General features: G+C 38.6%; 1 protein-coding gene across 2 annotated transcripts in view; it reads left to right on the plus strand.

Moving 5' to 3' along the window:
* The window catches only part of TMC1 (transmembrane channel like 1), a 316690-nt gene that overhangs the window by 220812 nt on the left and 81982 nt on the right, over positions 1–13896 (plus strand). For both annotated transcript variants that reach the window (NM_138691.3, XM_017014256.2), the window contains 3 exons: positions 25–106; positions 9431–9537; positions 12367–12465. In NM_138691.3, coding sequence (NP_619636.2) covers positions 25–106; positions 9431–9537; positions 12367–12465 — 288 coding nt within the window. The remainder of the gene's footprint in view (positions 1–24; positions 107–9430; positions 9538–12366; positions 12466–13896) is intronic.

The following is a 13896-nucleotide window of genomic DNA, read 5'->3' on the forward strand; positions in this document are numbered from 1 at the left end:
TTTTGTATTTGACTTTCTTTTCAGAAATGGGCAAAATTCCTCCGTGATTTTGAGAACTTCAAAGCTGCGTGTGTCCCATGGGAAAATAAAATCAAGGCTATTGAAAGTAAGTCCTTATCAGATCTCAGGTGGAGAAGGTTGTCTTAGAGAAGTATCTCATAAGCTTATCAGATGCCTTTGTCAGTTTCTGGACTTTTGGGAAGACTAGAAACAAACAAACAAACAAACAAAAACCAAATCAACAAAAACTTTGTTTATGCCTGCTTTCGTCACTGTGAAGATTTGCTAGCACTTACCAAGGACAATACTGGGGACCCCACTCTCGTGTTCTACCTTAGTCCAAAACATTACCATTCTAACCTGGTTTTCTCTCCTATACAGGGAAGTCACTATTGTGCACAATGACATTGAATCATCTTACTTGGAAGGCAGAGATTTTATTTTGGCAATGAACATGACATTGAGAATATATACTCTCATGAATGTTAGACAGTAATCAAAATGAACAATGTTTTAACAAGTGAAGAAGTCTTAGTCTGGGCGCAGTGGTTCACGCCTGTAATCCCAGCACTTTGGGAGGTTGAGGTGTGCAGATCACTTGAGGTCAGGAGTTCGAGACCAGCCTGGCCAGCGTGGTGAATCCCCGTCTCTACTAAAAGTACAAAAGGCCGGGCGCGGTGGCTCACGCCTGTAATCCCAGCACTTTGGGAGGCCGAGGCGGGCGGATCACGAGGTCAGGAGATCGAGACCATCCCGGCTAAAACGGTGAAACCCCGTCTCTACTAAAAATACAAAAAATTAGCCGGGCGTAGTGGCGGGCGCCTGTAGTCCCAGCTACTTGGGAGGCTGAGGCAGGAGAATGGCGTGAACCCAGGAGGCGGAGCTTGCAGTGAGCCGAGATCCCGCCACTGCACTCCAGCCTGGGCGACAGAGCGAGACTCCGTCTCACAAAAAAAAAAAAATAAAAAAAATAAAAAATAAAAATAAAAGTACAAAAAATTAGCCAGGCCTGGTGCAAAAGCCTGTAGTCCCAGCTACTCAGGAAGCTGAAGCAAGAGAATCACTTGAACCCGAGAGGCGGAGGTTGCAGTGAGCCGAGATCACACTACTGCACTCCAACCTGGGTGACACAGCCAGACTCTGTTTCAAAAAAAAAAAAAAAGAAAGAAAGAAAGAAAAAAAACGAAGTCTTAAAACCTCATTTTCAAATCTCTGAAGTAGAATAAGCAATAGTCATCCAGGAGCTTGCTATCTGAATATTCACATTGTGCCTTTATTTTGTAGAATATTCATAGGAAGGAAGGAAGGAAGGAAGGAAGGAGAATATAGCCAATCAAAAACCTATTTAGTTTAGTGCTTTAGGCTTAGAATAAGGCAAGTAAACATTTTAAAATATTGTAAATAAAAATAGTAAATTGTTTTTTAAAATAATAATCTAAAAAAAGGGATAACATTTGAAACAATTTTGAGCACAATCTTTCCATATTCTGGTTTCTAACGGTTTCAACTAGGATCTGATTTCCATCCATTCCTCTCTAGATTGGAGGCAGGTTTTCCTGCTGGTTAAGTGTGGCGTTGTATAATTAAAATGGAGGCTCCATAGGGAGATAACACAGCTGATGGATAGCTTGCTGACATGATTGGGCATGTTTTAGGAGTGGCTAACCCTCGGTTCCCTGTCTCTCAATATCAGATGGGAATTATTAAGTGGCAATGAATTAAAATACATCAGCTCATTAATTGTATCCCCTTCCACACATTCCCAGTGCCATTTCTCTCTTGCTTTAATTTCCTCCTTAACACTTACCGCTATCTAAAATGCTATATCTTTAATTTAATTTTTTGATGTAATCTTAATTCATTTTATGTTCATTTCTCCCAATAGATGGGAAATTTAGTTTTGTTCACTCCTGCATTCCACTTGGCACTTAATAAATATGTATTGAATAAAATTACAGACAAACTCGCTAAATGTCTACCAATCTAGGAAAAAAAGAAAGGAATTTAGATACATCAAAAAAGAGAAGACATCATGGATTTCTTAGGTTTCAACTGTACAGCTCAAATGTGGTAGGTTGAGAGGCACTGAAAAACAAAAGGCCATTTGGAGCATTACGGTCCTGATACAATATATATAGTAAGAACTCTGAATTTGGTCTTTGCTTTGCTGCAGATTAGCTGTTTGACTTCTAGCCAGTCATTTAACTCCTCTGGACCTCAGTCTACTAATTTATAAAATTGTAGGGCTGAGTCTTGATCAGTTGTTAGATAAATCCCAAGAAATTTGTAATTAATGATAGGTAAATATATACATTTGAAAATTATTTTTAAAGCACACTAGAGCAGGTTCCAGCCTATCCTAATAGTAATATCATGCTCATTTGTGTTCCAATAGGCTATAGCCAGTGAAACAAAAACAGACAGAATTATTTTTATTGCCAGAAATTGCATGCAGCAAGAGTTACACATATGACCACCATCCATCATGAGTGTCACAGTAGAAAAGACAGATTGAGAGCTATCCAATAATAACCTTCAGTTATCTCCTCTCTTCTTCTCTTCTTCTAGTAAATTTGGAAAGCCACGCTGGAAAATTGAGGCAAATGTAGATTATTTTTCTTTCCATATATAATTTATGATTTGATTAGTTTGTCATGACTTCTTCACTGTTAATGGTGCTTTGTCTCAACTGTGAAGAACTGAGCTTTATTTTTTATTTTATCAATATTCACCACACCACCATTTATTGAGTACCACCATGAGTCAGATGCTCTACAAACATTGTTTCATTTAATCTTCAGTGTTCCTGCAATGTGCACATTAACCTTCCTATTTTATAGTTGTGATTAAATAACTGTCCCAGAATTAGTAGCAGAGCTGAAATATAAGGCAAAATCTGTCTGGGTTCAAAACGTATGCTTTTCCATGTGTTAGGCTGCTTTCTCCTTTAGGGAAGGTTTTACATACTTTTTCTTTTTAAATATGTTTTGCACCAGTTCATAAAAAGTATTCTACGAGGCCGATGGCAGGATGAGTAGTTATAGATTTTCTTGATCGTTATCAAGGAATTATTTTTCATTTTCTCATGTATTTACTTTTTAGTGAGTGATTTATTTAATTATATGTTTTGTATTCTATAGGATGCTTAATGTACTGATTTTAATGATAACCATGAGGCTTTGGGCTATAGTATTAGTTGAAAAAATATGAAACCTATGTAAGAATATATTATTAGAGCACTGGATTGGACTATCTTATAAAAAGTACCCTACTAAATATAGGTAAAGCATGTATCTGTGATCACCTTTGAAACTGAACTTAATGCAAAATGGGAAGAAATAGGACATGCAATGGATTTTCTGAGTTGAGGACTTTTTGACCCCTACCACCTCTGTAGTTTGGACAATCTGTTGAAATCTCTGGTTCTGTTTCCACATTTGGGGCTACTACAATATCTACAACATCTTGGGTTTAACTAGTCACTATACAAGATCATTTCCAGCTCAACATTCTATGATGTGTAAGTTACAGTCAGTTTTACATGTATATGTAGGCATGTGAAATTCATTAATCATACTTTTGATTGATAAATCCTCAAAAATTTGAATGCAAAACAGATTTATACTAAGAGGGGACTATATAATTGCCTTCTCAAATTCTTTTTGAAATAAAGTTGGTTAAGTGTGTACCCTACTTATAGAATACATATTTAATTATAAAACGGATATAAATGCTTTTCTCTTAAATAAATGGCCATTTAATCTTACAAAAGGTTCAGAAGTATCATTGTATTCCATTTCGACATCAGAATCATCTAATATATATCTTATTTAATCCTCAGAATAAGCCTGACATTATTGATTAACTGAGCAAATAGTGGATGCCTAACATGTTTCTAGGCACTATTGCTACTGCCAAAGACAGCAGAGACTCTACCCTCATTGATCTTACATCCAAATGTGTTAATGTATGTATGCTTGGATGGGGAAGACAGAATATAATATAAGCAAATAAATAATGACGGTAATTGTGGATTGTAGTAAGTGGCATGGTCAAAAGAGGAGCTGTTGCCTTCCATTCCCAACAGCCTTTCTAATCCACTTTTCCCCACTCTCTGCTCAGTATCTAGATAATACCAAATAAGTATTTTTAAAATGTGGCTAAAGGAGTCCAAAATTAACAGCCTTTACTGAGTTTTCCCAAAGCTCTGTCCAATAATTTGCAGAATCAAGAGCGGGACCCAAATTAGAGTCTAAAATTCATACTGTTTCCATCTTGATTCCAGTAAGACCTAGATCTCTTTATTAGTGTGAAGCGGATTCTCACCTGATGACTCCCAACTCTGTTTCACTTAAAAAATAGATTTGATAATTCCTGCCACAGAGGATACTGTGACGTTATGCATCACTTGGGAATACTGTGGGGTTTTACTGTCACGTCAGCCTTAAGGGGATCATGCCTAAAACTCGATGGTTGCTCCTGTGGACACATCTTATTCATCTCATTGAACTGTGTATTTTTCTGAAGCAACTGCATGTTTGTACCCCCAGGAAATATAATCTATACCCATTGTGATGCCAACATTATTATTAAGACCATAAATTAAATAATTGAATGTATTTCTAGCTGGGGATTACAAATTTTTCTCAGGATCAAAATCTACTTTTTCCTAATAGTAGATTGCATCATCAAAATTATAGTTTCAGAAACCTATTTTTTTTCAGACAGGAAATAGCTTTGGATAGGCAAGCCAAAGCACAGGGCTTAAACCTTATGTTTCCTTGCTGCCCTAAGGATTCTAGAAAATACAAATCAAATTTGTCACATTTAATTCCCTACCCCTAAATAGTTCGAAAAAATTGTGCTTCACATTCTAGCCTAACATGATGGTATTTATATTGTAGTCACACAGCAGGTCATTTAATTGGTCTTTTCCCATTTAGAAATACTCATATTTATCTGCTTGTCTTATTACCCATCTATTCAAGAGGAAATGATGTGTTATGACAGACTACAAATTACTTTGCCTTAATAATAAACAACCAGAAAGAGAGTTGAAATTTTAACTTTAATTTGAAAGAAACAAGAATATTCAGGAACAAGAATATGCTTAAGCATAAAGCCTCAGTTTAATACGTATCAGAGACTCTGTTTTTTGGTTGTTGTTGTTGTTTGTTTGTTTGTTTGTTTTTTGAGACAGAGTCTTGCTCTGTTGCCCAGGCTGGAGTGCAGTGGCGCAATCTCGGCTCACTGCAAACCTCTGCCTCCTGGGTTCAAGTGATTCTCCTGACTCAGCCTCCTGAGTAGGTGGGATTACAGGCTCCTGCCACTATGCCCAGCTAATTTTTGTATTTTTAGTAGAGACGGGGTTTCAACATGTTGACCAGGCAGGTCTTGAACTCCTGACCTCGTGATCCACCTGGCTCAGCCTCCCAAAGTGCTGGGATTACAGGAGTGAGCCACCGTGCCTGGCTGAGACTCTGTTTTTATACATTAATAATTTACTATGGAAGCAGCATTTATCAGTCTGATTAAAGAAATAAGAATTGGTCATTATGGGCATCAAATTTGTGAATCTGACTGGCTTTAGCTGATTGATGGATATTATCTATACCTATTGTTTCAGAAACACATATTCATTGCATGTTTATTGTATATATCATAGTCTTAAGAAAATTAATTGAACTATGTTTTACTTAAAGGGCCATATAGCAGTGTGGTTAAGAGAGATCTAGATTTGGAGTCAAACACCTGTAGCTCAAGACTGCCTGGTTTAGAAGCCTGGCTTCCTTGTTTACTAGCTATGTAGCCTATAGATCTAAGTCTCTGTAAAATGGGAAAACAATAGTTCCCATTTCGTAGGGATTTGATGATCATTAAATAAGTTAATACATATAGATCAAATTGGTGTTTGAAACAGTGATTCACTAAATGTTACCTATTATTAATCAACTTTTGATTCAGTCAACAACTGTGTTAAAGTTTTTGTTTCCTGATTCATAGTGGGACTAATAATACTTAACCTCATTAAGTTCTAGTGGCAGCATAATGAGTTGATGCTGATAAAGTTCTTGGAACACATAACTGACCATCAAGATATACTAGCTATTATTATTATTATTACTCATTTTGCTTCCTTACACTGAGAGATTAAGTATGTTAAAATTGCTATTCTTTTCATTTATGCTCTTTTAGTCACACTAATCAGGCATTTCTTTTTAGTGAACATCAGTTTTAGTTAACAACATCCGGTAGGATAGAACCACTAGATAAAAGGGATAAAGAGGGAAGATTTCTTCTTTTTTGTTTTTGTGTTGAGACAGGAAAAACTGGAGTTTTATGACAACTTGTTGTTTCATTTTCTCTACTTTAAGATCTTCATTTGTTTTGTTACTGTGTTTTCTCCTCTGCTATTGATAGGTCTAGTGTGGAAGAAACTTTGTCTTCTGGATTTCTTAGTCTCTTCCACCTGTGTCTGGGTCTTTCCTATAATCGTTCTAGTTTTAATGAAATCTATTGGCCTGCAATTCATTTTCTTTACACTTAAGATTCTGTAAAGACTCAACCTCCAAATAAAATAGTTGTGAAGCCACTCTCAAATCTGAGAACTGGAGTTTGGAAGTTTTGGACTCTAAAGTATATTTCATTATGATGCTTAAGCATGTTGGAGGAGGGGATACTTTCTGAAACATCTTAATTCACTTCTGTCTTTTGCATTTAAGTATATTTGTACCCTACACGCAAGAAATTCATTTGTCAGGGATTGTGTGTAGGTGCTGAGAGGATGGGCCGTGGCAATAATTAGAAAAACAAAAGCATAAAAAGTGAGGAAGGAAGAAAGGAATGGTGGGTTAGTATCCTATATGCGGGATTTCATACTGGAAGATCTTACATGCGATTCCAGGGAAAAACTTACATTGATACCTAGTGACCAAGGCTTTCCTCCAGTAAATGAGTAACTGTAATGAGTAACAAACTGTAAGTCCACTGCCTTCAATAAAACATGATGAGTGAACCTGGCTGAGCAGCCCTCAGGTAGTCGTTACCAGAGAATGTAGATAACGGCCATGAAATGGTATGAAGTCACTGGGAGCCAAGTGGGTGATCAGATGTCCTAGGAGAAGCAGACCAGTGCACCTGGTGACAGTGCTGGGCTGGGCTGAGGTAGGGTGGGGTGGGGTTGTGTATCAAAACCACACACCCTTAGAAACCTTATAGAACTCTGCACCCCTCGGCAATGTGAAATCAATCCAAATTCTCTTGTGAGCATAAAGAAAAATATTGACTTCAAAATCATTGATTTTTTCCAAAATATCCATTTAAAGATTGACTTCTTAAGTTTCTAAAAAAAAACCTGCCACTGTTTTACAGGAATAAGAAAGATGGTAGGTAAAGAATAGACAAAGGGGCCAGGTGCAGTGGCTCACTCCTGTAATCCCAGCACTTTGGGAGGCTGAGGCGGGTGGATCACGAGGTCAGGAGTTGAAGACTAGCCTGGCCAACATGGTGAAACCCTGTTTCCACTAAAATTACAAAAATTAGCCAGGTGTGGTGGTGGGTGCCTGTAATCCCAGCTACTCAGGAGGCTGAGGCAGGAGAATTGCTTGAAACTGTAAAGCAGAGGTTACAGTGAGCCAAGATTGCGCCACTGCACTCCAACCTGGGTGACAAGGGCAAAACTCCATCTCAAAACAAAACAAAAAAAGAATAGACAAAGGTCCAGAAATAGAGGTGTTACTGTCCTGTGAGGCCGGCCTCATCTAAGTAAGTAGAGGCTGGAATTTGCTACCCATGAACCTTCCTTTTCCATTGATAATGCTTCCCCACTGATAATGTTTCAAAGCCAGAAGGCTCCAGAAAATCATTGGTCAATAGAGATGTTTAGCTGAATGTTAGCTGAATGGGACAGAACACATGGGCTGATGCAGCCAGGGACTGAAGGTGTTTGTTGTTTTTTCTTGGGCAACTGACAATGATAATTTGGAAGATTGGGAAAGCTAGCAACTTGGTGCTGAATCTTAAATGACCGTCAAAGAAACTTTTGCTTTTGTAAATCTATGAAATCTGAACCTAAGACTTAACCTCTTCATTTTTCTTCTTCCACTCTCTGCTTTAAGAGGGTGCTTTTTTTTTCTCTCTCTCCCAATGAGAATTAACCAATCACTTTACTTTTCACTTCTGGGGGCAGGGGTGAGTTGACTGAACATTCTTGCCTATTGCCTATTCATTCCCCAAAGCTGAAGTGGTTTTTTAAAAGTCATGCTCATCACCCCTTCCTCTGGCCCTAATGCTTAACACCTGTCAATGACTTCTCCTTACATTTTAAATAAAATTCTCACTCTTTACCATGGGTTGAGAGGCCCCACACACTGTGGTTTGGCCTCTCCATCCTTATCTGTCACCACTTTCCCTCATTCATGTACTCCAACTGCACAGGCCTGAGTTTTATTCCTCAGTAGTCCCAAGCCCTTGCCCCTTAGGATCTTTGTTCTGGCTTTTTCCTCTGCTTGAGCTGCTCTTCCCCAGCTCAGCATGTTGCTGTCTTTTCTTCAAACTTCAGATCTCTGCTTAGATGACATCTCTGATGTTCTTTCCTTGACAAAACTTTCTAAAGCTACCCCTTTCAATACTTTCCCTTCCCTCCTGTAGGACCTGCTATTATCTCTATCTCTATCTCCTGTCATCTACATCTATAGCTAATGTCTATGTCTGTATCTCTATCTCTGTATCTTTCTATGTATCTTACATATTTGTTGTATCCATACCTCACTAAAATGTAAGTTCTATTATAGCAGCACCCGTATCTATGACATTGTGCTTCACATCTAAGATAATTTCTGGCATAAGATGTGTGGAGTGAATGAATGAATTTCAGCTTTTATACCATCCCTGTAAAATTCCAGTAATGGGGGAAACAGCACAGAACTGCTTGTAAGATAACTATCCGTAAAGGATGTGGTAAACTCTTTTTGAGAAGAACATTGTTTGCCTGAGAAAAGGAAGAGAAAATAGCAGTAATTATAATTATAGTGATAGCTAATTACTAGCTAGGCACTGTAGTTACCTTTACATATATTTGCTCAGTTATCAGTATTAACTCAAGAAATAAAATGCACTCTGCAGGTGGCAATCATGGCTGCTCAGCAAAAGGCAGCTTTCCCTTGGATGGACTATGATGGGGTAGGTCACATGCAGTCTGCATAACTGCATTCTACGTACCTTCTACATTCCACATGACAGGGAATGCTTCCATCATGATTAACATTTTCTCTTCCTGAATAGAGAGAAAAGAATGCTATAGCCTATAAATATAAAAAGGACCAATGCCTCACAATTAATGGATTCATTTTGAAGGCAACCAAGACAAAGCTCTTTTTGTTTGTTTGTTTGCTTTGATCTCTCTTCAAACTTTTTATTTTCTTTGTAATAGGTCAGTTTGGCTCCTCAGTGGCCTCATACTTCCTCTTCTTGAGATGGATGTATGGAGTCAATATGGTTCTCTTTATCCTGACATTTAGCCTCATCATGTTGCCAGAGGTGAGATCTGACTTCCAGTTTACAAAACATGCTGAAAAATGTTTCTCCTAGAAAAGTATTTATCTCTTCTTTAAAGTAGAATAATTAACTGGCTATTTTCACGTCTTAGAGTCATAGGATTTGTAATGAGATTAACCTTCAAAATGGTGCCCATGGGCCAAAGCTCCCAATCCTTGCACTAAAGGGGGTGTAAGCCTCTTGAAATTATATAACTTATGTATAATTTCACATGTATGTTTAAATGTGTATTTTTATGTGGAAAGTTTCATGGCTTCTTTCAGTTTCCCAAGGGGGTCCCTGTTCCTAAATGTTAAAAACTATTGTTCAAGAGGAAGACTTTGACACCTTGTGAGTTGTATTTCTTTATTTTGCCAAGTTAGCTTTGAAAGAAATGCTTCCTTAATGCAACTCAAAGCCTCCAGATTTTCTATACTGAAGAAACACAAAATGAACATTTTCCCCCTAAGATACAAAGTAAGATAATGCCCACAACACACACACACACACACACACACACAAATAGTGGGATGGGATGAGAGTGGGATGGGATGATGAGGTCCAAAGTCAGAAACTAAAACACATAGAGGGTCCAAATCAAAGAAGACAAAGCCCTGAGCTAATGTGGGGAAAGGGTCAGCTGAGGCCAAAAAGCTAGACTGAGGTCAGAGCCTTCACTCATATGAAGTTAAATGATTCTGACACCTTTGAATGCTTACCTTACAGAAGTTGGATTAGGTTTTAGTTAACCTACAAAGGACCTTTTAGGACCAGTATTTCAAAGCAAATTTGGTCCATACAGCATTGACAGTGGCCAAAATTTGGTGGTTTTGGGTGACTTTTTATCCCGATAGCTTCAAATCAGTGCCAGTTTCTATACTAAGACTCCTATTAACATAATAATAATAATAATGCTTTACATTCATAAAGAGATTTGAGCTTTTAATAGTACAAAGCACTTTCACTTCTTTTACTTACTGTGCGTCACAACAAATTTATGATGTAGACTGTAGAAGACATTTTCTTCACCCATTTAAAACATGTAAATGGAGTCACATAATGCTGATGTGACTTAGCTAACATCTTGGAATATATTTTTTTATTAAGCTGATCTAGGACTAGAACCCATGATTCAATCCCTTTCTCTAAGATTTTGCACTTTAATCCACTAGTTTTATAATCCTTGAGATAATTCCAGAGCTTCTAAAGTTGTCTGGCTCGTAGAAGACAGTGACCAAAGATCAGAGGTCCTGTGTAGTTTATTTCCCAAGTGCACACTTTCAGGTAATGAAGCTGAATGTGTGTATTTTATCTATTTCAAATTAACCCCAGCTTTTTTTTTTTTTTTTTTTTTTGCTTACCTTTCTAAGGAAATCTGAAACTCCTCCATTCCATCACTGGCTACTATGACGTTACTTAGTGTCAGATGCAGGTATAAATGGAGTTTTATCAGCAGCATTTATTCTTTCCCCCACACCATGCTGCCTCCATGTGGAGAAAATGAAAGGCTGTTGCTGATTTATTTGAATAATACGAAATTACAGAATGTCTGCTATGTAGTGGATGGAGTGCCTACGTGTTAGGTTGGATGTATTCCAAGAGCTAGGAAGCATTCTGTCTTTGGATACCCTTTTATAGGTTGTATTAGGTGCTGAGGGGCATCCTGTTTTCTGGGCAATGATTACCAACTCCAGCAAAAGAACAAGAGAATGGACACCCTGCATGCTGACTTTGCAGAACCACCAGAGGCCAGGGCAGTCATCTCCTGGCAGCAACGCTGTATTTTTCAGCTGCCTCTACCCGACGGGCTCACTCAGTATTCCTCCAAGGCAAATGCCCTTTTGCCCCAAGGTCCTGTGTCCCTGGGCAAGCCTGAGACCTTGATCTCCTTTGTCCTCTGTGCCCCCGAACTTTGGGGCGAGACAGTGTGTCTGGAACCCACCTTCTATTCTGTTCGGACCAGGAAGCCAGATGGGCCAAAGGCCTACTTTGGGAGGTTGTGCAGCTTGTGCACAGGGAGTGAGCAGAGATTGATGTCCAGCCCTTGTTCAGTCAAGCTCTGCACCCAGGCTTCAAGCCATATTCATCTTCTGTTCCCAGCTTTAGGAGGGAAGTTTCCATCTCACAGAAGAAGCAACATCTGCTTGGTAAGCTATGGGGGCTAGAAAGGTGCTCTTTCCAGTTCTCACCAAGGCACCTTCCTATGACCCTATTCTTGCCCTCTCACTGGCCCACTCTTCCCAGTACTATTCTCCCTACCGTTTTTCTCTTCCAATCTGGTAGCATGAATTTGAGGCAGCAGTCCTGAATTAGTGATGAAGCAGACACCATAATCAGGGTGCAAGTGTTCTCACGTTGCAGACACCCACAAATTACATGATTGGATTTCCTTGAGTTCTCTCTCTTGACATGAAGGACAGAATCTCCCTCCACCCTCACTCCTAAGGGGTATTCTCTTATGAAAGTGTGGGTAAGATTGTTTTGTTGAGTCCTATGTGACTCAAAAGGCTACCTCTCTCCTTTCCAGACTTCCAAGTCAGAACAGTTTGGTGGTGGTGGTGGCAATGGGGTCCTCAGAAAGCCCTCTGGGGAATGTGGTTGACCTGACTGCTGGTGGTCCCCTGAACTTGGAATGCAGGGTCCTTTGCACTCCCTTTGTTCTTACCTCTGGATTTAGTAGTCGATTCCCAGAAAATGGGACCCCACATGGAGACCCAAAGAGTCCCCATAAAAATGTTTCAGAAGGGCTTTTAAACAAAACCATTTGTGATCACATGTGTGGCTCAGACTTTGTTTCTAATTGTTCACTGCTTTCTTTGCTTCTTCATACAGTACCTCTGGGGTTTGCCATATGGCAGTTTACCTAGGAAAACCGTTCCCAGAGCCGAAGAGGCATCGGCAGCAAACTTTGGTGTGTTGTACGACTTCAATGTAAGTGTCTCCACACAAGTGTATTGGTGGGAGGATGGATTTTTATTTAGTTTATTTTATTCTGAAACCCACGGCCTCCTCTCCTGGGTCAGGCTGAATGTCTTAAGAAAGACGTCCCTGCTCCCTTTAAGAAAGAAAGGAAAGAAAGAAAGAAAGAGAGAGAGAGAGAGGGAGGGAGGGAGGGAGGGAGAGAGAGAGAGAGAGAGAGAGAGAAAGAAAGAAAGAAAGAGAAAGAAAGAAAGAAAGAAAGAAACATGTCCCTTTATATAAATGTGACTATGATTTAGGACAATGGTAATATGATTATATGGGAATATAGACTACTGGATAAAGGTGAGCTCAGAGTTCAAAGACTTGAAGCAAATATTCTTATCACTGACTTTGGAAAAGAATAAAGGAAGAGTTTGCAAATGTGCTTTTTGGAAAATCTTGTTGGATTCCTAGGGAATTAAAACTTTTACACTTCCTATTAACCTCTTTACTTCCTAAACAAGCCTCCTATTTAGTATTACTCAATAGTTAGTACTAAATAAAGCTAAATATTGAAAACTAAGAAATACTAAATTCTAACTTTTAAATAATACTAAAATTAGTATTATTCCATTGTAGTATTCAAATGAGCATTACTCCTTGAGCTCCCTTAGGTAGAGATTATTACTATGGAAAGGAGTTATTTCTGTCCATTGAAAAACCATTTTGGACTATATGATTCAAGTCTTCGACAACAATGTAATTCCACATATTCTTTTTTTAAGTAGTGACTAGACTAGAAATGTCTGGAAGCATATGCGTGGGAAAGTAGCCAGGTTGAAATTGAGGAATTGATAATTCAAGTAATTTTTGGAGGCTAGACAATGAGAATAAAATTTTATACAGATTGCAGAATGAAGGAGGGAAAAGCAGACTGCCTGTTTATAGTGTTAATATGTATATCTCACAAACATTTTGATTTCTACTTTTAACCTCCTTAAATTGTGAGTTTCCCAAAGAAGAGATCAGGTCTGCTACATCTTTTCAGCCCGTAATCTAGTCCTCATCCACTACAGGCTAAATGAATCTCATTGACTGAAAATCCTGAGTGAGGGGGATGATTCATAGAGCCTTGAAGTAAGAACCACAGGACCAGTTTATGTGAGGAGTACCAGAACATGCAAACCTTAAGAAAAGTTTCCCATCTCCGAATGAACAAAGCAAGCTATTGAGTTAGCATGAGGCACAATGATAGCAACAAATATGTGGCATTTGTAATCTTCAATCACCCCTGTCAGTTGGACTTTCCATTTCAATTCAGCATTTTTTAAACTGAATTATAAACTTGCATAGGTTTTACAAAGATGAATGTGACATGATTCTTGACTTCAGGGTACTCGTGATATTAGAAGGAAGACACGTAAGCAACCAGTATACAAGATGCTGTGCACAAAGTTAGCA

This window comes from Homo sapiens, chromosome 9 (genome assembly GCF_000001405.40).
Source record: "Homo sapiens chromosome 9, GRCh38.p14 Primary Assembly".
NCBI lineage: Eukaryota > Metazoa > Chordata > Mammalia > Primates > Hominidae > Homo > Homo sapiens.